Source organism: Homo sapiens, chromosome 12, assembly GCF_000001405.40.
Source record: "Homo sapiens chromosome 12, GRCh38.p14 Primary Assembly".
NCBI lineage: Eukaryota > Metazoa > Chordata > Mammalia > Primates > Hominidae > Homo > Homo sapiens.
Genome location: NC_000012.12, coordinates 17,589,122 through 17,615,702, shown reverse-complemented (window position 1 = coordinate 17,615,702; position 26,581 = coordinate 17,589,122). Strand labels below are relative to the sequence as shown.

General features: G+C 33.2%; 1 long non-coding RNA gene across 1 annotated transcript; it reads right to left on the bottom strand.

The window, feature by feature from the left end:
* Nucleotides 1–251: 251 nt before the first annotated feature.
* LOC124902888 (uncharacterized) lies at nucleotides 252–26,514 on the bottom strand. Its single transcript, XR_007063231.1, has 2 exons — nucleotides 26,320–26,514; nucleotides 252–572 (listed from the first exon to the last, which is right to left on the bottom strand). It is a non-coding gene; the product is annotated as an uncharacterized LOC124902888 (long non-coding RNA).
* Nucleotides 26,515–26,581: the final 67 nt, after the last annotated feature.

Here is a 26,581-nt window from a genome sequence, read left to right as displayed (position 1 = left end):
TACTTAGTGGTTCTTTCAGTGTAGTATTCAGTAGTATGCATAACTTTGATGAAAACCTAGATATGAATAAATATAAACTATTTTTAATAATTACAATGAAAGCCATATTTAATGTAATATATTCTTTGGACAATGAAGAAGATAGGACCTTCCGTGGGCAATAATTTTTACATGAAATAATGACTGTTTCAGTTATTCAGCAGTGGGATTTGTTGTGAGTTTTCTAAATTGTATAATTATAATGGTAATCATAATGGCAAATATTTATTGAATATACTTTATGTATCAGGCAATAAGATACAAACTTCATTTGCATTATCCCATGTGATCTTCACCACCATTTTACGAGATAGATATTATTATACTCATTTTTTTCTTCAAGGTAGAAATCAGTGGTTAAACTTTCCCAAAGTCACAGAGCAATTTTGATGCAGACAAGATTTGAAACTAAGAACTCTAACTTCAGAAATCTGGTTGTTAATTTTTTAAGTTATGATTCCATGCAATTGCTGCTGCATCTGGTGGTGACAGCTGTTGTGAAGTGCTCATCGTTATGACAGCAATAACAATAACTATGAAACAAAAGAAAATACATTGATGGATAAATTCATCAACTTATTTAAAATATTCATTTAGTAGCTCATCAATTACATTTTATTTGTGAAACCTGAGAGCTCCTGGAGGGTCTTTCAGCTCTTTCTCATAAGGTTATTTATTTCAGTTTACACTAAAAATGAGTTTTTTAAAGTTACCCAGTTTGAGTTGCCATCACTCTCAGTCTATTTTTCAGCCTAATAATCAGAAATGTAAAGCCGGGAGGTAGAAAAGTGGGGGAGCCTCAATGAAAACTTAATTAAGTTCTCTATTGTTTGTCATTTAAAAATAATTTATAATAGAGAAACGTTAATGTTTTAGAAGAAAAATGGCTTTTAGACATGTGTTTCTTAAACTAAGGAACACATTAAAATCACTTAGTTAGATGGTTAACTATACAATTTCTTGTCTATATCCAAGACCTAAAGAATCACAAACTATATGAATATATCATGAAATTTCAATTTGTTTCAAGGTCTATGGGTAATGCCTAGTATTTAAAATTTTTTTTCACATTTTATTAAACCAAATTTTACTTTACTTTTTAAGTTATAATTTTCTTTCTTCCATTAAAAAAATTAAGCAGTTTTATTGAACTATCATTGATATGCAAAAACCTTCATCCATTTAAAGCACACAATTTGTTAAGTTTGGACATAAGTATATGCCTGCAGAACCATTACCACAGCCAAGGTAATAAACATATCTATCCCCTCCAAAAGCATTCTTGTGCTCCTACGTTTCATTTGTTTGTTTGTTTGTTTGTTTTGTAGTAAGAACATTTAACATTAGATCCACCCCCTTAATTTTTTTAACTCCACAACACAGTATTGTTAACAACAGGCACTACATTGTACGTACATAAGTTCAATGGGTACAAAATTTCATTTATGCCCTATAATGTTTAAGAGTTGGTCTGAGGAATATCATTTCAAAAATAGAAAAATTGTATTGAAAAACCCATGACTACTTTGTTTTATAAATATCAAAACTACTTTACAAAACATAATTTTAGGAAACTTTACCTGACCTATCGAAAAATTGAGATCCAGTGAGAGTGAAATGCAAACTTAATCTCAAACTTTTTCTGTAAAGATTGCCAGGTAGATGGTATTCAATCAATGCATTAGTTACTTAGATTTTTCCTACAGGTGGTCATAAAAATAAATATGTAGAAAGGAACTTGCCTATGGTAAGAATTTTCTGTGCTGTTTTCTTAATAACATTTTATCTTTTTCATTGATAAAAAGTCCATTTCTTGAGTTTAGCTATAAATAATGGCTGATTTGTTTATAAGAAAAAATTGTTCTGTTTATTTTAAAACTACAATATTATAATAAAACAAAGAAAAAACATATTTATAAATTAAGTATCTTACAAAGTCAATCAGAAAAAGAAATATTTCAAAGTCAAAATACTTTCATAACATTCTATATTAATATCTATGTTAATATTTATATCCATATCTATGCCCATATATATTTCTCTATGCAAAAAAATATATGAGGTTGAATAACTTGTTTCTAAGTTAAGAGAAATATTAAATCCTTCAGTAATAGAAAAATGGTAAACAAAAATTATAACAGAAGAAAATTTTGTATTTCCTAATTAAATAAAATATTTTAAAGTGTCATAAAATTCCAATTTGTTTCAGAATTGAATATCTTATAAAATAAGTGATTTAAATTTGTATAAAACTAACAAGAAGTACTTAGGAGGAAATTTTGACTGAGCAGTGACTATTTAAAGCATTTTGTATCTAGAATGTAGACAAGGAAATGATGTGTAAAGAATTGCTGCTGTCTATAAACACATAGTTTCAGATTGTTAAAATTTCATGACAAATTTTTAAAGTTAGAGAATTATCATTAGTTATCTATTAGGACTCTGAAGAAACTAAAATAACTATATTATAGGGAGACTCATATATTCACTTTTAATTAATTTTCAGAATGTTTCCCAATGAATTTTTAAATTTTTGTTATGATTGACACATCATAATTGTACATGTTTATGAATCATAGTATGATGTTTCAATACATGTTTACAGTAGTACCTAATGACCAAATAAGGATAGTTAGCATGTCCATCATCTCAGCTTTATCATTTCTCAAAACAGATATTTTGTTATAATGTTTCACCCACAAAGACCTTTTACTTCAGTTTTCATTGTTTTGTTTCACAAACTTGTCCCTCTGCTTTAATATATTATTGTTCAAACTTTACCATTTGAGAAGAAAATAAAAAATTGATTTTTTTCATAGATAGGCTTCAATATTGCTCATCTAAACTTCATCATATTGAATATGTATATATAATACATTGTGTGTATATATAAATATATATCTTTAGACAATATACATTTGTGTGTTTGTGTGTGTGTGTGTGTATATATATATATGTATTTAATTTACGTCACAAAGCAATTCTAATCAAGGAGCTTCTTGGAATATTATGTACTCATCCAGGAATCGGCCAAATTATTATTTGCTTTTTTTTCATCACTGTTATAGTAAGATAAAATACAGTCAGAATATATGTGTCTAACAATATTCTACTTACAGAATTGCTCTTGGCCTGAGTAAACTGTTTACTTTATTTACAGATAGTAACAATGATAATAACAATAACGGATAAAAAAACAGCATAACTAAAATTATTCAGTGTTTCTAAGATAAAAATATATTTCAGATTTAAGACAATCATGTTATTTATGGCATTCAAACTTTTGGTATCTATGGTTACTGGGTAACTAAAGCACTTAATAAGACATGGTACCTTTGATAACAATAGTAGCTAAAGTATTGATTGCTTAGTTTGTACTGGGTACTATTCTTTGTTTTCTCATTTAATCCTCACAACTTCTCTGTGAATTTGTTAAACAAATTATCTCCATTTTGCAGATGAGTAAAGAGAGGTACAGAGAGATTAAATAACTTGCCTAAAGTTGCATAGTTATGAAGTGGGTGAGCCAGGACTCAATGCCAAAGCAGTCTGTGTCCAGACTCTTCCTAATTTAATATACTGGCAAAGGTATGTATATATAAGTATTGTGTGATATATTTGTTATACATGTTTGTAAATATTTGTGCTGAAACTATATAATAAAACTATTTTTACTATAACAAAGTATTTTCATTTCAAACAGGTCAGAAAATAGAAAACACTGAACCACGAATTAGTTATCCAAGAAACCTGCAGAGAGAATGAAGCATTCTACTGCCAGAAGGGATTTCACAAGGATCTATGCTTATTAGAGTAACCGTCATTATTTTTAACCCAGCATTATGTAGTCACAATATAGTAAGTGTTAGTTATGCAAACAAAACACCATTTCATGATAGGAAATAAATGTGTGTTTTAGAATTTCAAAGCTCAAGGAAAAATGTACCCTTTATCCAATCAATAAACTGTAGTAACCTAGAGAGTTCTGATACCCCAGTCCAATTTTTTTTTCATTCTTCAGGAAATGGCCACAAAAATGAAGCAAAATTAGTATTCGAGAACAACAGGATGTCATGTTTTGAGAAAAATTTGTTTTATATTTATAATAAAGAGATAAATTATTCTTAAAAGGTATATAAGGTTACAGAGGTAAATTATGGTTTAAAGATATATAAGAAATCCAAGCAACTATTTCCAGATCCAGTGAATTTCAATCTTTGTCAGGAACTAAATTACATGTTATTGTTGGTGGGTGAGAATGTTTAAAAGGGTGGGCACTTATGAATTGGGATATATCCTTAATTCCACAAATCTTTAAAACTACACTAAATGTCTTTTAATTTCTCTTTCAAGAAGGCAATTCACTGTTATCATCATAATGGCATTAACTGTCATTGTTACAGAAAATGATCTAGATACATGCTGATCATTGACTTTACATTAAATATTTCTTATTAATTACTAATATTCACTTGCCATACAGTTCAAAAACCATGAGTCAGAATGATTGAATATCTATTCTAATTTCCCTGCTTTTAAGAATTGTGATCATGCTTTAGCTACTTAACCTCTCTAAACTTCAAGATTGATCATCTGAAATACAGGGATAACCATTTTTATCTCTGAGTTACAGAAAAGATCAATAGAAAAAAATCTGTAAAGCAACTTGTAAAGTACTGTGTCTGTCACATAATAGGTGCTTAATAAACATACTGGTTTCTGTTTTCTTTATCAAATTTAACACAGATATATGATGTTAAGCCAAAAAAAGGTAATAACATGTTTCAAAGTGTGCACTTTATATGATTGATTTTTTAAGACACCAGAACAAAGATAATTGTAAATTATTATTTTCAAAGCATCAAATACAATGTCACCTATTTCTTTGCTTTGTGATCTATCTTGCTTCACTACCTCCCATCACCATAACATGAACTTTGTATCAAGGGAGCATGCAGTGGTCAAGAGAAGGATTTCATGAAAGACTGGTTGCGTCACTCCTAGAAAACATTTAAAAATTACTGTGCTGGTAGTGGGTCAGAGGCATCTTCACACCCAAATAACGATTAATAGAGGATACATATGGCGCTGTTTTCCTTGCAATTTTATGTTTTCATTTTGTTGACAGAGCTAAATTTTCCCAAAGTTATATTTTACCATACTCATCCATGGTCTGAATCAGGTTTTGAAACAAATTGGGGATTTAGAATTTAATCCAGTCTTTGGTCAAGCAGAGGAAATGCCACAGTAATGACCAAGTCCCTCTACAAGTAATGCTAAGCAACACATCCTCCCTTCAGCAGATTTGCTTCAGGAATCACCACTGCCTAGTCTGTGGAAAGTTTTGGAACACAGGACACATTTCTCCAACATCCCTGGGGAAGAGAGAATTCTGATGTCCACTCTCTAATTTTCAATGGCTGGATAGATTTTTCCTGATAATGTCCTTAAGCAATGAGTTAACATGCAAAAAGGAAAAATTCCACTACTACCACCATGAAGTGACGGTACTATCTTAAGGCAGCTTTAATTCTCTCAGAGGAAACAGAGTAGAATGGAGCTAAAGAAACACTTAAAACCTCATTATCACATATCCTCTCTTCACCCACAGAGCCCCCAGCCTGCCCATTATTGTCCTGCCTGTACTTTCTGTGGGACTTTGAAAAGAAAAGGTTCAAAGAGCAAGACTTTCAAGCTCCCCTTTCCATGTCAAACACTTTCAACTCCTGATTTCAAAGTGCCACTTCGTTGCTGTTCAAAGGCCTGTGGACTCATAGGGGGTGAGACTGGAGTTAAAGGTTGAACTACAAAGCTCCTTGCACTCACAGTCATTTCCAGCTTGGAGATACAAATGGTAATACAAACTCAAGCACCTATCAATAAAACTGCCAATATATGAAAGGAGGGACAGAAACATTCTAAATGGCCTTTTAAATTCTTTTTTTTCCCCAACCAGCTGCGTGCTGTCATCAGTTCGGATGAAAGCCTAATTGATATTTTGAAGTACTACTTTTCTCTCTGTTCCCATTAGAACTAGGGGGACTACAGAGGCAGCTGAGGGAGAAAAACAAGAAAGAAAAAAACACCCACACACCCCAAAGAAGTATACAAGAATAGCTAAAGAAGTCCCTTCTAACATCTGAAAAAAAAAAAAAAAAAATCCTGCCCTACTCTAGTTGAGTATTCATCCTCTTCCCCTTCACTCTCTCTATCCTTTTTATCTGCCTGCCCACAAGATTTGGAGCACCATTAATTGGTCCTCAGGGAGGCTACCAGGCCTCTGCTTTTATGACTCAGTTCTTTGTATTGTACACATGTGGGCATCTCTCAGGAGATAAACAAAAGAAAAATGTGTGGAAAAGGGCCAGAAATTGCACAGGTCTAAACACTGAACAGGCCATTGTCTTGATTTACTGTTAATGCTTGAAATGATGAGAATAATTCGCATTCCCCACCCCTGGTGCCCTCCTCAGTCTGCTTAAGCTAATGTGCTTTTTCTCATTGCTACTGGGCCATCGTCTGAGGAATTCTGTTTCCTATGTGAAATGAAACATCCTTACTCCTTCTTGGCCCCCTCCTCTTATCCCCCCATCCTCAGCAACAAACAAGAGAGGTGGTCTTATGGGAAGATAAAAAGAATAGTTGATCATAAGAACTAACCTGGAGCCAATACATTGGCCTTTCGTCCCTTCAGCACGTTCTAAACCCTAAGCACCTGCAGCTAATTCTCCTGACTTCCAGCCCTGGCCTTAGAGATGCTGAGGTACCAACTCTGTACCGACACTTTCTCTGCCTCATAAAATGTTTACATGTACTGGAGAAAAGTGACCTGTCTTATGCAATGTGGCATTCCCATTAATAAGTGTAGTAAGAGCTCATTAATTTACAGCAAGTCGTTTTTATATAAGAACTTGGATTGCTTTAATACAACCAGCATCTTAATTTAAAATCATCTTGAAAATAAAATCAGGGTCTAAATTTAGCATACTTACACAAACAGTATTTTTGCTTATTGTATCATAAATCAAACCCAGAGTACACAAGGTAATATTCAGGAGTCAAAATGGAGATGTGGTGTCTGCTACATAATCAAGCTAAGTCATTTAAAACTTGCTAAACCTGAGACTCCTAAACTATTCTGGAAAATATACAATTTCCCTAAGAAATTTTTAAGTCACCTAATGCCTGAGATTTTAGTCTATCTCACTAAAAGCTATGCTTACATATACCAGTGTAAAGTATTTTACAATGTCCCTTTCCTGGTCATCTCAACTGGATTCTCTAAAAAGCAGAGCCTGTGGCAAGAACTTGCGAACTGGCATTATATTGGAGGGGACACATCAGAGAAATAGCAGTGAGAAAAAAAACAGTGAGAGAACAGTGGTAGGTGTGAAAGGTGACATAGTAAGATTTAGGACCGTGTCAACCATAGATTCTAGAAAAGCACAGCGAGTTGTTATCTCTTGGGGTATGTCTATGAGGCACTGTAAAGCTACAGCATTTTGAAACATCCCTTCTAAAGGAGGGAAGATCCAAATCTTTATCTGCTTGTTCCTTACTGTCTCTTGTGTTTTACTGGTCAACATGTGACTTATGGGGCTTTAACTTTGCTGCACCTAGGAAATGTGTGTCAGTGCCTTCTAGGAACCCACTAGAAAAGCTAGAACTTTCACAAACCAAGTCCAGTCACCATGAAGGCATGGAAGTCTCTCCAGGAAAATCAGTGCCACATCTAGGGTGTCCTCATTTGTATCAAGATAATTGGACCCCTTATGAAGTGTCTGACTATCTAATGAGGAAGGTTTTCTAGAGACCCAGAAGCGGAAGGTAAGGCATCTTCCGACCTATCCTTGGAAGTACCATGGAGTCACTTCATCACATTCTACTGCTCAAAATTAGTCATCGGACTAGCCTGTATTCGAGGGGGCAGGACTAAATAAGGATGTGTACATCCAAAGGCATAGTTCATTGGGAGACTCAATAGACATATTCTGTACTTTGAATATGTTCACAAAACATAAGAACTCTAACTAGACACACAGAAGATGGCCTAATCTAAATAGGTTCTAAAAGATACCACCATTTTCCAAGGGACAGAAAATTGTGCCTCTCCTGCAGAATCTTTTACATATATTTATGTTTATTATATAAAACCAAATATATATGTATAAAACACATATAGCTACATGTTATATAAAACCAAATATATACATATATAAATACAAATATATATGTGCATATAATATATACATTATATATACACATATTTGAATGTGCATGGATTTAGTTATATGATATGGTTCAATCACTTCATACTTTTGTTTTCTTCCTAAATTATTAAATTCAGGCAATCTCTAGGAATTGTATATAGATAGATATTAACCCTATAATTATTGTTACAATAAAATATTCTAGTGCCCAGAAGTTGACAACCACATTGTAAAAGCAGTGTCACTTATGAAATTCTGCCACCTATTATAACAGCTTATTTTTTCCTGGGTGGGGTATAAGTCGGGGTTTCATATACATGATATGAATGACTTTTTACAAGGATCATGGATAGGTCATTATTTTTAACTGGGAAAAGCCTCAGAAAGGTCAAATAATTTTATCCAAACAAGTTTAACAATGTGTCCACAAAGTGTTAGCGCTAGATATTGAACCTAGTTCTAATTGCTAATTTTGTGCATTTTCCTGCTTCACATGGTCTTTTGGAGGCCCAGTAACATAAATATACACAGAAGATCCAATGTTACATTTGTCCCATGGCTCAGTTTATGTGAAGAAATTTTTAACTTTTATCTTTCTGTGAAGTAAATGTGTCTTGTACTTAGGAAAGCAAGAACATATTAATTCTATATTTTGTACGGGGTCAGGTTATCCCTTACAAATGTTTTCTGATTGTTTTTTAGGTATGGGGTATGTTTTTATTCCTCCAGCTAGATTTTAAACTCTTTTAAGGGAGAGACTATTATTTCCATTTGTCCTGCACTCTAACTTGCATCACCTTGTTCAATTTTTGACACATACTCGGTATTTATCCATTTTTTTGCGTCAAACCAAATTTGTCTTTTCATCTGATTATTAAATGCTTCTCACTAATCATTTAATGCCACTGCATTTAGTTATAGAAAAAAATTATTATTCCGATTAACCATTTTCAAAGAAGCAATTCTCGGGTGATTATAAGTAGAGAAGGTCTTAGGGAAAACTACAATTATAAGCAGCTGCAGCATGAATTACATGTAATTATAGTTGATTCCTGTAAATAATTCTTTCTGTAAATTTCCATTCCAAAAGGATTTACTGCTTGGTAACAAAGGATATTTTGAATTAAAATATATTTTCCTAAATTTATGTAAATAAAATTATATCTATCAAAAAGAAGATAGTAAAAGGAAGAATAAGGGATCAAGGAACAGAATGTTTCCATTTCTTAGGTGCATTTCTTATAAGTCACAGAATGTGATTTTTTTCATTCTATCTCAATATGACACATTTTTTTTTGCTTTAGCTTGTCTGTAGACTAAGTGAAAATAAAATACAAACCCCCTTCAAAAACAAGCAAATAAAAATGTGGTGTACTATGTCCTGCAGTAATTGTCAGCAAAACCTTATAATTCTATTTTAGTACATAATAAGCACGTAATGACAGGTGGCAACTGACGTGTCATCAAGACACTGCTGACTAAGTTAATATGACTCAATTTTTGTTGTTGTTGTTGTTTAGAGGGAATGACTCTTGGGCATTGAACATTTCCTGTTCTACTAGTAATTTTTCTCAACATGATGTATAGTTATTCTATCAAGTATGGGCCAATATATGCATTATTTATCAAATATGTTCTAACAGAAATGACACGAGAAGAGTTGGCATATCATTTAAATCAATTTAACATATTAATATGAGTTATTTAATTTTCATATAAAAATAAAATGTGAAAAATATTATATGGTGAATGGCTGTTTAAAAATGGGAAGAGTGTCTGCATTTCTGAATTATAACACAAAATTAGAAGAATACTTTATGATTTCAACTCTTTCCTTGCAAGGAGAGTTCATCTTCTTCTGAATTATAGCTTTGTTTTTCCACATAGCACCTACTCCTTATGCTTTGCAAGGCTATCACATTAATCTAATGTGGAATAATTTGTATTGTTTACAGAAAAGCTGATATGCATATCTTTGTTTGACATTCAACATTTCTGAATCCCACAACTCTCTGGTGTAAGACAAACTCCATATTTTTCCTCAGAAAAATAGAGCTGTTTTAATTGTTAAATACCTTTTTTCATCAAAACTTAGATCTCTTAAGAGTCTTTGAGCCCGCGACAGCAATCCTTCTTTTTGTATATAATCAACATTAATCTGATTTTACATGTGAGAGCATACACAGCATGCAGTTCTCAAATAATGTCTTGTTTTATGTATACAAATCTTGCTAATAAGGTACATAAGCAAAACAAAGAGAGACATATATTTAAATATATAAAGCTTCATATTCACCTCTGTATAGGACCCTTTATTTCACATCACATTATCAGGCAATCATAATCCTCTTCTCAGAATATTAAGCAAAAACAATATGGCTCTGAGGTACTTCTGCAAAATATTGTCTAACTTCCATAAAATGTCTGCAGGGTTTTGCACATCAAGATATCTTTTACTAAAGATGTTTATGGAAATAGGCCATTATGTGTATTCCTAATAGACAGCAATTTGTTATGTTTAAAAACAGATTTTGTATTAACAGTTGTGAATAAACACTAAGTTATCAAGCATTTTAAATATAAGCAATACATATGTTTGTACTATCCTAATGACACATTTCGAACAGAAACACACAGTGTGTATGCAACCTAATTAGAGCAGATATTTACCAAAAAAAAAGTAAAGCATTTAACTTAGATATCTGGTAGTAATAGGAGGTGACTCGGGGTGTACCAAAATGTGTATAATACCATAATAATACTGGACTAAAAGCCCAAAAGAATTATTGAAACAATGTCTACTAAATATAATAATCAGCTACATATTTAAGTTCAATGTAACATGTATAGATATTCCATATATTCATACATTTATATTTAAGTATTAATTTAAATATTCAGAATATTTAATTTCTGTGTAGCATACATATATATGGAATGTTTGAACAACTTTCACATATACATATGTATGTTTTTTAAAGATGTGATTCTAGCTAATCTGGCTTCGCTGTCAGTAACAGTGAAAGAAATGTAAAACATCTATCCAATTATTTCAGCTAATATACAAGCATTAGGCATTCAAATTTCTAATTAAGAGACAACATGCCCTGTCAGGCATCTGCATGGGCTATTGAACATTGCCTAGAATGTCTCACAATTATTCCAGCTAATAGTTCTAAAAATGTAAGCAATGTGCGTCTATTGAAGGATAGTGTGGCTTATCACGTAAGATGACACAGCACACAGAACATGGTCTGGTTCCATGTATTCATGCTAGAGGTTTTTATTGGAACATGTTCTAATTAATTCTTGAGCAGAGAGGAATAGCACGTCACCAGTGAAAGTTGTTCAAACATTCCTTATTGAAAAAGAATCACAGTCTGTAGGCAGTAATAGATGTACATTTGTTGTAGGATTTGTATTTTGACCTACCCTTCTCACTCCAACTCTTTTATAGCCTAGGATAAAAGCAGTTTGCTGGGCCTAATTTTTTATATAAGATTTGGTAAAATATTACAAACAGAAGCAAATAATAAGCCATTCTTTTTAAAAATATAATCTGACCTAGGACATTTTATGTCTCATTTGCAAAATATTCTATTTGAGCATTGAGTTATAAAAACTTTCACTCGTGTCTGTGAGAAGAGACCACCAAACAGGCTTTGTGTGAGCAAGAAGACTGTTTATTTCACCTGGGTGCAGGTGGGCTGAGTCTGAAAAGAGAGTCAGTGAAGGGAGATGGGGTGGGGCCGTTTTTATAGGATGTGGGTAGGTAGTGGAAAATTACAATCAAAGGGGGTTGTTCTCTGGCGGGCAGGGATGGGGGTCACAAGGTGCTCAGTCGGGGAGCTTTTGAGCCAGGATGAGCCCAGAAAGGGAATTTCACAAGGTAATGTCATCAAGTAAGGCAGAAACGGGCCATTTTCACTTCTTTTGTCATTCTTCAGTTACTTCAGGCCATCTGGATGTATACGTGCAGGTCACAGGGGATATGATAGCTTAGCTTGGGCTCAGAGGCCTGACAAAATGTTCTTGACCATTAGTTGTTCAACTTTTGGAGTATATAGAACATAAATGACCACTTTTCAGGTCAAAGATAGTTGGGTTAACCAAATAGGGTGACATGGAAGACAATATATGTTATATTAAAAAAAAGTCTAACAGAAAATTATACTAAAAACAGATTTATAAATTGAGACCTATCTCTTTTAGAAATAAGAGTTTGCAAAAGCAAAGAGTAAATATGAATACATGATTAAATAAATAAATGAACTCGGTTAACATTCTTTTTAATGGTGAAGGAAGTTAAACAATGCCTATTTGATGAACCAGAGTACACAAATATGGGTGGCCTTAAAGGTATAAGTGTATTTTATATCAATATCAACCCAACATACATTCTTCAAGTGTCTGTAAAAGACAAAGAAACTTAAGAGGCAAAAATCTGAAATGTGATCTTAAAACCAAGAAAATTAGAAACAGCCAACGTGTAGAGTTAAAAAAAAAAAACGAGAGAGAAAAACAAATGACAACAGAATAAATAGGGGGAAAAAAAAGTGTTAAGGGAGGAAAGAAAGAGACAGAGACAGACAAGAGAAAACAGTGAAAGTGAGCCCAACTTTCTAGCAGAAGATCAAAGATTGACTCTGAGGAGTGGATGTGACATAGGAAATTAGCAATAGTACATCATCTGGAGAAAAATCCTGTAACCTATAACACTATTATTTCGAATTTCATAGTTTGGAATACTAGAAGGTTAACTTATAAAACAAATTTACTAGTAAGAAAGTACACTATTTCTTTGCTACTTAATGCTAAAGTCCATCTGATAATAATGCTTGGTATAAAATATTTATTTCTCTTTCATTTCTAAATTCCTTTTCCACACTTTTTTCTTGTCAATCTAAAGTGGTCTCTAAAATCAATTTTATTATTTTTAAAATTATTTTTATCATAATTATGCAGTGTCATCAAGTAAAATAGGCACAATTTGAATTGTCTCAACCTATGTAGATACAACTAGGATAGACATGATAGTTCTTCTTTACTAGTTTCTCTCTGAATGGTCCACCGTCCTAGAATAAATATTTTATAATTAAAAGCCTGGAATCTTGGTTTTAATAGCAATTTCAAAAGCGGAAGAAGACAATGTAAGCTTCTTCCTAAACCTGCCTAAATACAAGTTAAAAATTTTAAAAAAGACTTTTAGAATGTCATTATGAGGGCCTCCATGAACATATCCCCATCCAGGAAACAACTATAATTTTTGAAAATTATTTTTAAACCCAACCATTGAATACCTCTGGAAGTGCTCAAATGGCATACAGCAAATGAAGAAACGAGAAAAACTACTTAATCTTGATAAGAATAGCAAGAATCTATGACATTTGAATGACAACTCTTTCTGTCCTTTCAGTGCCTGGATGCTCGAAGCTGGTAGAGTGTGCCCTAGAAAACAGGGTTCCTTCATCCTTCAGCTCCTAGTCATGGGATATGATTTTTATTGGAACAAGCAAGTTGCCAGCATTTGTTTTCATCCCAGGTACAAGTTCCAAAGGCTATATTCCTGGCATGTGCATTCTGGCATGGCAAGTAATTTGGGGCTCATTTCCTGCACCCGGGCCCCACTCACAGGACAGATTCTGGACCCTAGAGATAGTAGGCAAAGATATAGGGATCTGGATAGCCCTTTCCTGAGCTTACTCACTGGGCAGAGGTTGCACTCCAAGAGAAGCAAATTAGAAAACCAGAAGCTATTGTCCCCACTGAGCACCCTGCTCCTTGAGAAGCAGATTATTATTCCTATCCCCAAGTTTGGAGCAATAGCTCAGAGATTTTACCCAGAAGGAGGGACAGTCCACAGGAACAGAGAACTTCAAATATAGGGAACTTATTTTATTTGAAACACAGAATAGGAAAGATCAAATCAGTGGTTGTTCTAAAAGAAAAAAAAAAGGACATTTTGTTAATTAACATTAAGAGGAATCTGCTATCTCGATTGGAGAAATAAGATAAACTAGGCAAGCTAGTTTGCCAGAGAGAACCATGGAAAGAGACAAGTAATAAATGTTCTCTTGTAGTCTGAACCGGCCTCATACAGTATTCCTACAAAGAGGCTCATGTTTAATTGAATCAGGCAATGGAGAAATGTATACCCCCAGGATATTGTTGACACAGTAAAGCAGTCTTCAGCAAATTCAAGGAACCTAAAAGCTGAGTATGGTACCAGAAAAGGCAGAGAGGTCAGGGAAAGAGCCAAAGGTTCTAAAACTACTGTAATCTTAGGGTGACTGTACATATGCCCAACGCTACATCCTCTGAGAAGCACTATCGGTAGCATGACCTTGAGGAGGAAATGGATTTCACTAAAATAGTCCAAAGAAATCACTAAAGAAATAAACAAGAAAACCACGACAATAATGACAACAAGAAGTAACCCTGGATACAGGAGAAAGAGTAGTGTCCAGAACTGTTACAGTACGTACCTAAATTGTTTGGATTTCAATAAAAAATTACAAGAAACGCAATAAAAGAAATGTAACTTGCAATCAGAATGTAGGTGACATGGGGAGAGGTAATAATAATGGCTGTGAGAGAGTTCCACTGTTGAATTTAACAGAAAAATATTTCAAAGTAGACATTATAAATTTTTTAACATTTTTAAATATCTAAGAAAATCATGCTTAAAGATGTAAAAAAGATAATAATATCTAATAGAGAATATCAATAAAAAATAAAAATTAGTTAAAAAGGAAACAAATGGAAATTCCAATGTATAGAAAGAAAACTCACTGAAATAAAAAAAAAATTACAGGAGTGGCTTAACAGTAGATTTGAGCCAAAGAAATAATCAGCCAAATAGACAGATTGATAGAAATTATGCAATGTGAATAACAGAAATAAAAGTTATGAAGGAAAATAAAGAGAACCTCAGAAAAATGTGGGACACTACTAAGTGCAGTAAAATAGGACTATTAGACAGAGACATAAAACACAGATATTCAAAGAATTAATGGTTGCCAACCTTCCGAAGTTGATAGAAACCCTTAATCTACATCAAGGAGCTCAAAGAATTCTAAGTAAAATAAATATGGCTGGGCACGTAATTTATTTTGCATGCTGTAATTTTTTTTAAGGTCATGCCTGTAATCCCAGCACTTTGGGAGGGCAAGGTGGGCATATCACTTGAGGTCAGGAGTTCGAGGCCAGCCTGGCCAACAGGGCAAAATCGAGTCTCTACTAAAAATACAAAAATTAGCTGGAGGTGGTGGCAGGTGCCTGTAATCCCAGGTACTCAGGAGGCTGAGGCACAAGAATCACTTGAACCCAGGAGGTGAAGGTTTAGTGAGCCGAGATCATGCCACTGCACTTCAGCCTGGGCAACAGAGCAAGACCCTGCCTCTAAATGCATACATACATACATACATACATACATACATACAAAGGTATAGAAAACCAAATACACTGTAGTTAACATGCAGCAAGTCAAAATTGAGAACATTTTGAAAGCAGCAAAAGAAAAATGACTCATGATATAAAAAGGAATCCTAAGAAGATTAACAGCTGGCTTCTCTTCATAGACAAAGAGGATAGAAGACAGTAGGTGGCACATGACTTGTTGATCTTCTGCCTAGTTGTTTTATCCTTTACCGAACGTGTGATATTGATTTCCAGGTATTGTTGATCACACACACACACACACACACACACGCACGTACGTATATGTGTATACATATACATATATACATATATAATATACTTATATATGTGTATATATATGTGTGTATATATATATGTGTATATATATGTGTGTGTGTGTGTGTGTCTTCCTTAAAACCTGTTAGCTTTTGCTTCATGTATTTTAGAGCTCTGATGTCAGGTGAGTATATAATTGTTATATCTTCCTGGTAAGTTGTGCTTATTTTTATCTCTAGTAACATTTCTTGGCTTAAGGTATATTTAGTCCAATGTTTGTAGAGCAACTTCAGGATTCTCATGTTTTCTGTTTTGTTTTGAGACAGAGTCTCGCTCTCTCTCCAGGCTGGAGTGCAGTGGCGTGATCTCGGCTCACTGCAATCTCTGCCTCCCAGGTTCAAGCAATTCTCCTGCCTCAGCCTCCCAAGTAGCTGGGACTACAGGCACGTGCCACCACGCCAGCTAATTTTTTTTTTTTTTTGTACTTTTTAGTAGAGATGAGGTTTCACCATGTTGGCCAGGATGGTCTCGATCTCTTGACCTCGTGATCCACCCACCTCAGCCTCCCAGAGTGCTGGGATTACAGGCATGAGCCACAGCACCCAGCCTCTCATGTTATTTTTTGGCATAAAATAACTTTTTCCAACTTTTTACTTGCTGTCAAAAAGAGTTTTAAAGTCTGTTTTCTGTAGACAGCACATATTTGAATCATACTTTTAACAATCCATCCCTAGAATCCTGTCTTTTAATTGGATTATCAAATCTATTCACATTTAATGTTGTTATTGATATAGTTGGATTATCTTTACTATTTTATGGTTTTCTATATGTGTCATGCATTTTTGGTTCCTTTAGTTCTTGTTTACTGCTTTTTTTCCCCAGTAAATGAACATTTTCTAGTGTAATGTTTTAAATTATTTTATTGATTTTTCACTATATTTTTGTTATTGTCTTCGTGGGTTTTATACGTTTTATCGTATAATTCTTTTGTTATTGGAATCTATTTCAAATTCCTCTAACTTAATTTCAGTGATAGAAATGTTACTCCTATATACCTCTAGTTTATTTTCCTGTATGTGTTTTTTGCTATACATATTTACAGACCAAAAATATAGTAATAATTATACTCTGTATAAATTTATGTATTTCAAGGATGCTGACTGAAGACTGGAGAACAACTGTGTGTGTGTGTGTGTGTGTGTGTGTGTGTGTGTATACACATACATATATGTACATATATATACATAGTTTATTAACCTTATTTGCCATTTCTTTTTATTTACTTGTACAGCTTTGTTCCAACCCTCTCCTTTATGTTTTTATTGCTAAATATGCTACATTTCTATATGTTATAGTCTCAACAACAGTTATACCCATGTTGTTTATATAGTTGTTAAAAATCATTTAAGAGAAGAAAGAAGTAAAATATGCATTTATGCTGTCTTTTATAACTATATAAGTATATATAATTTTGCATAGTAACTTTTTCTTTTGAGATGGAGTTTCACTCTTGTTGCCCAGGCTGGAGTGCAGTGGCCCAATCTCGGCTTACTATGCCTCTGCCTCCTGGGTTCAAGCAATTCTCCTCCCTCAGCCTCCTGAGTAGCTGGGATTACAGGCACCTGCCACCACGCCTGGCTAATTTTTTGTATTTTTAGTAGAGATAACAATGTATATAATTTGGGAAGTGTTCCCCTCTTATTTCTTGAAAGCTTGTGAAGACTTGCTATTAAATCTTCTTTAAGTATTTGGTAGAAGTCATCAATGAAGCCATCTGAGCTTGAAAAATTTTTATGTGGAAATTTTTTTATTACTGATTTCAGCTCTTGTTATGAGTCTTTTTGATTACTCTGCTTTTCTTGCATCAGTTCAGATAATTTGTGTATTTCTAGGAATTTGTTCATGTCATCTAAGAAATCTGTCAGTATAAAAACTACACACATTATATTATCATCTATTGTATTTCTGTAAGGTTGGTAGCAATATCACTTCCTTTATTCCTGATTTTAGAAACTTGATTACATTTTTGGTCAATCTAGCTAAAGATTTTTCAAATTTGTCATTCTTTTCAAAGGACCAATTTTGATTAAATTTGATAAGTAATTTTATTATTTTCCATTTACTATTTCATTATTTTTCACTCAAATCTTTATTGTTTCCTGTCCTTGCCTTCAGTTTGCTCTTTTTTCTTCTAGCGTAAGGTGGAAAATTAAATTAACGATTTGAGTGTCTTCTCTTCCTCCTCTTTCTTTTTTCTTCTCTTCCTCCTTCTCCTCGCTTCTTCTTAATGTTTTTTCCAACTATAATTTAACCCCTAAGTACTTCTTGATTTCCAAACAAACTTCAAAGCTACAGTGAGACAGTACTTGAGTCAGTAAGACACAAGACGGTGTTGTAGTGACATATATACTGTCATAGTGACATATATACCAACATATATATCGATGTTATATAATTGAGAGTCCAGAGGAAAATCTGAACACTTACAGTATTGATTTTCAAGACAGGTGTCATGGCAATTCAATGGGGAAGTAATAGTGTTTTCTGCAATTAAAGCTGAGCCTACATGTATGAAGTTAGACCTACATCACATCATATATAAAAGTTAACTTCAAAAAGATCAAAAATCTAAAACTATAAAACTTTTATAAGGAACTTTAGGGAAAAAACATAGAATTAGAATTAGGCAGTGATTTCTTAGATATGACACCAAAAGCTCAAGCAATGAAATAAAAATAAACTGGGCTTCATAAAAATTAAGATTATTTATACATCAAAAAACACAAAGTGAAAATGTAAACCACAGAATAGAAGAAATTATTTGCAAAACAGGTACTTGTTATGTCACTTGCATTCAGAATACATAAAAAACACACAACTCCATAATAAAAGACCAACAAAGGATTAAAATAGACAAATAATTGATTAGACTTTTTTTCCAGAAAGTCTATGTAAATGTCCAACAAGCACAAAGCACATGGAAAGAAGCTGAACATTGTCAGCTGTTAGTAAAATGCAAATCAAAACTAAAATAATACGCCACTTCACACTCACTAGAATGGCTATAGTAAAAAAGATAGATAAAAATAAATCTTGGTGGTGGTATGAAGAAATGAGAACGCTTTTTTTTTTCACCTGGTAGAGATTATTTCATCACCCAGGTATGAAGCCTAGTACCCACTAGTTGTTTTTTCTGATCCTCTCCCTCCTCCAAACCTTTACCCTGTAATAGGCCCCAGTGTGTGTTGTTCCCCTCTCTGTGTGCTTGTGTTCTCATAATTTAGCTCCCATTAATAAGTGAAAACATGTGGTATTTAGTTTTCTGTTACTGTGCTAATTTGCTAAGGAACAGAAATGAGAATTCTCATACAGTATTGGCGGAAATATAAAATAGTACCTTCTGAGAATGTTAAACCCAACAATTGCACTGCTAGGTGTAACCTCAAGAGAAATTTTAAAACTGCCCATAGAAAAACGTGTTTAGGAATATGCATAAGAGCATTATTTATTATAGTCAAAAGTGAAATGAATCCAAATGCTCATCAATTGATGAGAGGGCAAATAGAATGTGGTATTTCCATACAATAGAGTGTTATTCTGCAAAAAAAAAAAAAAAAAAAAAAAAAAAAAAAAGAAGAAATGAAGGACGGATGCATGTTATATGAATAATCCCTGCAAACATTATGCTAAATGGAAGAAGCCAATCACAAAAGATGACATATGACATGATTCCATTTACATAAAATGTCCAGAATAACCAAATCTATAGAGACAAAAATTAGGTTGGGGATGGTGGGAATGGAAGTGACTGTTAATGGTACATGGTTTCTTAGGGATGATAAAGATGTTCTGGAATTCAACGTAGTGATAGTTGTACACTGAATGAATATATGAAAATCATTGAATCATATGCTTTCAATAGATTATTTGTGTGGTATGTGAATTATATCTCAATAATTTTTTAAAGGACATGAGAAAGAAATGGAGACATAATTTTAGTTTCCATTATAGAATAAAGACAAACATTATATCTTTTGTCTTGGAATCAATTAAAAACTAGGAGTTAGGGTACTAATACATATTCCTAGATGTGGGTTAATCATGGCAGGCCCATTTTCTGTGTCACTCCGGATGGCATCTCTCAATGTCATTGTCTTACTATTGCTGAGATAATACTTCAGGCTTAGATGTGCATAACCAAGCCATAACTCCCTGTCTCCAATCATTACTAAAGCAGAACAAAAGATGTTCTCTAACCCAGCATCTTTCTACAATTTCCCTACAATCTGCTATGCTAAAAATTTTTACCCTTCTCAAGTCATTTTCATTTTCCCCTTTTTAAAAGTTACTAATGAGCCTTTAATCGGACCTCAAATCAGAAAGCCCTTCCCAACGGCTTTATCCGCTTCTTGATTTATTGTCTATGGCATTCAGTATATCATGATGTAAGCTCCATAAAATCAAGCATTTTGCCTCTCTTTGTTATGACTGTATCTCCAGTCTTCTAGAATAATGCTTATAGACAGGTGGCATGAATTAATGAATCAAAAAATAAATGAATAGGTTTCAGCTGACTTCATTTGTATACAAATGCATGGGAAGAATAGCACACATTTAGTGTCATTTTCTTCTACAACTGAATTAATGGATCAATAGCTCTATAATCTGGTTAAATACTCAGAAAAACTATTGTGTTTATCTTTTATACTCATCTAACAATAAGTAAAGAATAGGGAGCCATTTTCGTTTTTCTAGCATTGACCTCCAAATTTGGGGTGTATCAATAATTTGTATTTTTAAAAAATAAGCATTTTCTTTTTGAATTTATATGTAAAATGAGAAATTTAATGCACCTAATAAACATGTTTATTTACAACATATATTAAATATACATGTGTGTGCTTGTATAAATTTATATATAAATTATCTCCCTCAAATAAGGTATATGATGAGTATGAGTCCATTTGTTTTAACGTTGGGTGGGAGAGAAAAAAAAATAATAAGAGAAAAGAGAGATGAATGCTTTCAGTTATTAAAAACAAATGCATTTGCTGTTACGTGTTTTTTGAAAATTTCAAATTTTCAAAATAACATAAAGGATTTTTAAGCTATATCTACATAAATTTAAAAATTTAATTTGTTGATGAAAATTATTTTTTCAAATTTATACAAAAATATGAAGGTTTAATATTTTATTACAAAAAACTAATACTATTTTGTGATATTATTGTAAAATGCTATTAATATTATAATGTTTTCCAATCTCAGGCAATTGTTATTATAGTAAGAAAAAATGTATCCAATCTTAAAAAGGTTTAAATACATAATATAAGGTCTAAAATAAAATATAATTAAATTAACATTATAAATGACTGAGGAAATGACTGAGTGGGAGCTTTACTCTCAGATATAATTCAAAAACAAAGGTCCAACAGGGGTTTCCATGTAACAGGTCTAACAGAGAATTATAATCAAGGAAATATGCTATCAACGTTGCCATCTTTGTAACTTTTTAACGTTTCTTATTTTGCAGGGTATTTGTATCCAGAATATATATTTTGGCCAAATGCCAAAAGACCCAGTGTTAAAAATATTATCATAATAAAATAAATTGTTGGTATTCACAATTATTAATTTTAATACAATTTTAACCACAAAGAATATTAAAATGTCAATATTTGAATGAAGTAGAGGAGCAAATATTTATTTGTACCATTAGCTGAGATTACTCCTTAGATCAATGTGCTGCACATTTGCCATTCTAAATAAATGCTCATTTGCAAATGAATTTGGTAGAGAAGAAAAGTATTTTGTTGGCTTGCTCTGTCAGCATCCACTATTGTGCAACATTATTTTGCAATAAAGGCATTGAATACAAACAACAACAACAAAACTAAACTAAGAGAACTTTAAGATCATTTCAGTCTTCTATTTAATTAAGCAATTTTATTCTACTTCTAAAATGATGATGAGTAAGATGATGCATTTCTATTAAGTATACTCTTTTGAAGGTTATTAGTGAGAGCTGGTATCTGCTTGAGGTATCTAATTTTTCTATGCCACTTTCATTTTTCTTCATTCTCTCTATGCTGTTCATTATATCTGACTCAAAGATGATTTGTCATGAATGTTACTTTTAAATGATTTAGGATTTTCTTCTCAATGAAATTTTGAGACTGAAAGTTGGTTCTTTGCTTTTTATCCTCATAAGATGTTTTAAAAAACTATCAGTTATAACTGTTTTCTAGAAAGATTCATACTCTAAGTATAAATAACTAGCTAAAATGTGTAGAGTTTATATGTTGTTTAAAGTTAATAATGTTATTACACCTAGTTACATAACAATAAAAATCATGAGATAATCTAATTTTTATTTTTTTCTAGTATTATCTAAATTACATAAACATTTGTTGGCTCAAAAGTATATAATCTTTCTAAAGATTTTTATATAATTCACTTTCTTAGTATTCACATTAACTCTCATTTCACTATTTATCTATTTCAAAGTCCTTAATTGTTTTTGAACATACAATTAACAACTTCACCCCTGTGAATTATTGTAGCATTTTCTATTATAATTAAAAGTAAACATATATAACCAATAACTAGTAGAATGTCAATGCAAAAAGTACCTTAGAACTAGTTTTACTTTCAATTTGATCTGGAATACCTGCCTATATTTGAATATGCATATTCAGATATTAACTATATATAAAATGTCACACTTGCTTTTATTGTTGACACTAGTATACTAATTGGCTATAAAAGTACCTACGTGATTGTACCATCAATGATGAAATATAGTTCATAGGGGCTAGAACGGACATAAACTAGATATTCTGTGATTTGGTTTTCCAAAGCCCAGACCTGACACCAGACCCAAAGCAATTAAAAAAAAAAAAAAAAAAACCTAGATTTGAGCTGAACACCCAAACTAAAACTACATCCCAATGCACCATTAGCCGTTTTCTTAACTTTCTGTTTCAATCTAGCCCTAAGGGCAAGTTCCTCACTGTGAAAAGTGATCAAGTGATTATTTCCCAAAGGCTTTAAATGAGGTTCTTTATAGGCCCAGGAAAGAGGTCATGTGGGCCTAGTAAATTGTTAGATAATGTGCAGCCAGTACTGAAATGTGACCTCAAACGTAATGTGGGAAAAGGCGGCCAAGAGGAGGAAATGAAACAAACTGATTTCCAGAGCCTAAGAGTGTGAGAAACCAGTATAAAGCAGTAGACCCTTTGATTGACTTTGACCCTGCACATTTAGGAGGAGGGCAAATACGACACTAATAAATATTGAACACTTAACATATGGCAATCACTGGGCCAGACGACTTATTAACTGCAGAAAGAACTATGTAATTTATGTGCCCCGTGGAAAATGAAAATTGGGGGGCCCTATTCAAACATTATTAAGAATTTCCATAGAGCAACAGGAGAGCATTAAACTAACTGCAGGGCTCCTCTAAGCACAGGGTGCTGTGCTGTGTGTGTAGGCAGTTCCCATGTCCACGAAGCTGGCTCTGATGGTTTGTCACTGGTGCCCTCACAAATGCTCTGTAGCATATTCTATTATCCCTCTTCTATGGTTAGAAAACTGAAGCTTAGAAATATCTATTATAATTTTCTCAAGTTTACACACCATGCAAGCGACAAAAACAGGCATATATAAAAATAGCCTGTTTTATTTTAGCAGGTGATATGTTTTAAAGGCTCATAAAGCACAGTAGAGGAATTATATACACCATCTTAAAAATATGTATTTACTGTTCATACACTGTTCATTTCTGATCATCTCTTGATATATTCTCATATATATCAATATATGAGAATCTCATATAGCATAGCAAACACACTTCCCTCTGCAAATGCCCTGCTAATACTTTTCCAAATTAGAGTGTGGTTATACATTCAGCGGATAGAATACTGCACTACAGTTATGATAACGAGAGCAGTCTTTGAGTTTTTCAGCATTGGTATACAGTTAGGACTCCATTATCAGCAAAGACACAGGACTAGAATGGTTGAAGCTGAAGATTCAATGGACTGCTTCATGGATGGTCCTCCAAAAGTTCATTAATATTGAAAGCCAGTGTAATTACTCTCACAAAATCCCATGATACTTGCAAATCTTATTTTTTTTTTTTTTTTGCCAATTTTTCATTTCTGTTTTGTAATAGAGAGGTGGCCTTTTGCCCACAGGAGCGCACCCCGTGAATCACCAGCACTTGCACTGTGCCACGGAAGGGGAGCTGCCATATTATTAATTTTTTTTTGAGGAAGGTAAGTGAGAAAGGACATGCTGTAAATAGCATGTGACTTCCCTCTGAACAAATTAGGTCCTGTGAATTGCATAAGTGAGCAAATCTAATTTTAGTGAACAAAAGAAGCTGGGAGATGCTGAGTGTAATTTTTATGTAAAAATAAGAAGTCTCCAAAGACAACTCTCTTTAAACAGATGAATGCAAATTACCAAAGTCATCCAAATAGAGAAGGTTGATTTATGCATTTTCCATTGTATCCTTCAACAAAAAAAGCTTTTTCTGTTTCCAAATAGTATGCATTTGGGGTAAAGTTTCACTTTACGCACCAAGAATGGCTGAGAGAAGAGAGCTCCAAAGCAGTCATGTAGAGAAATTGTTTCTCTATCTTTTTTTTTCTAGAACACAGCTTCTGCCAAATAGTCTGTCCAACTGTCTACTGTATCCACTTTTAGCTACTTGAATTTTAATTAAAAGTTTCAATGTTATATATCAGAATATATGATTAATTCTCCATTGGCACCCTATGTCTTCAGCAGAGGGCAGACACGATAAGAGAAAAATCAATTCTGCTTGAACATAGCTGCTAAATTCCCAAATCGACACCAGCCATTTTAGAAGATGGGTCTTATTCCATCACCCTCACAGCATTGTCAGTGCTTACTAGTTTAGTTGTAGCTTTCAGTGCACAAATATCTTAAAACTGCCAGTGAATTGTTAACTACTAATACAATCCTTAGAGGATTGTCTGGTTCAAGACAATGTGCTACTTGTATGGTTTTCACTACTCCTACAGGGTTTCTTCTTCTCCTGTCCTCTTTCCAGTATGGGCCTTTCTAACAGCAGCTTTTATAATCTATAGCAAGAACAAAGGAGTGTAATTCTCTCTCTTTATATATTCCTGTATGTGTGTGTTTGTGTGTTTTCATCCATATACCCATATTAATTCAAGAAGCATTTAATGAGTGCCAGCTACTTAAACCAATCATGCTTCTAAGAACCGAGGATCTTTCAGACAAAATCTCTTGGAGCTTAAAGAGTAGCAAGTGACATTTGTTGTTAGTAAAATAATATTTTTAATTACTTAACTGGCAAATTTTTGTCACCCTAGTACTGTGCTTTCACCTTAAAACCCAGGCTTTCACCATATGTGATTATTTTGGAGACCTTCTCATGGTATATGCTTCAAGTTTTTTGTGACTTTCTCTGTTTCCCTTACATCTAGATTGCCTTTTTTTCCTTTTAAAATGTGTAAATAAAATGTCCCCAATTCTCTATCTTTATTGGTTCATAATTTTAATTTTAAAATAAAACAGCTTCAGTATTTAATCCTGTAACTTACATGAAATTCATTGTCCACCTTCTCTCAAAAGATTTTTAAGGGTAACTAGAATCTTAAATTTCCATGGTTACATCTCACTACATTCCTTTTACCTCTGAATTTTCAGTATATATTTTTGTGTTGAATCCTATGGATCCTAGCCACTTTCCTTTTTTTTTTTTTTTTTTGTCTCTTTACTTATGGAATTTGTTATTTCTCCTTCATTTTCTAAAGGTTTTTTCAAGGCTTTAACAGAAGTTTGGGTATAATTATTAAGAATCACTATAGTATAAGCACAGTCTAGAAACCAATTAAATTTTCTCTGTGTTACATATCAATTTGGTAAGGACTATGTAATTCCTGCCATGAGGTGGAAATACTGGATTCTTCTCTTGGCCCTAAGTTTCGTTTATTGACCTGTTGTTGGTCCATCTCTCTAGAACTCTCGGCTGAGCTTCAGGCCTTACATTCAGTATGTATTCTATCTCATTGTTGGCATTTCAAATGTATCTCAACTTCATATATCTAGACTGAATTCATCATCTTTCTTTCCAAAACAGGCCTTCTCTCAGTATTTCTTATCTAAGTAACTTTGGTAATTTTGCCATTTGTTTATTGCTTAAAAATCAGTAACCCAGTCCAGTCTTAGAACAATGTTATCTTCAATGCAGCCCAAAATAAACAGAAATTAAAATATTTTAATCTTTAAGCTCTTTCAAATATATCAGGTGCTACAAGTACATTGTTAAATAAAATAGATATTTAATCACTGGAGTGCATTGGCGCGATCTCACCTCACTGCAAGCTCTGCCTCCCAGGTTCAAGCCATTCTCCTGCCTCAGCCTCGTCACCCAACCACTAGACTTCAGAATCTCCCAGAAGGTTCTTTTTTCTTCCACAAATACATTTTCTTTCAACCAAGGTGTCCTATTCTGACATTGTCTCATTTTACCCGTATTGTGCTTATTTCCTGCTCTACATGCCTTGTCCTCCAGGAGGCTCCAGCTAGTCACTATGCAACACTCTTGCTCCATTGTGATGAGGGAGCGTTTTTCT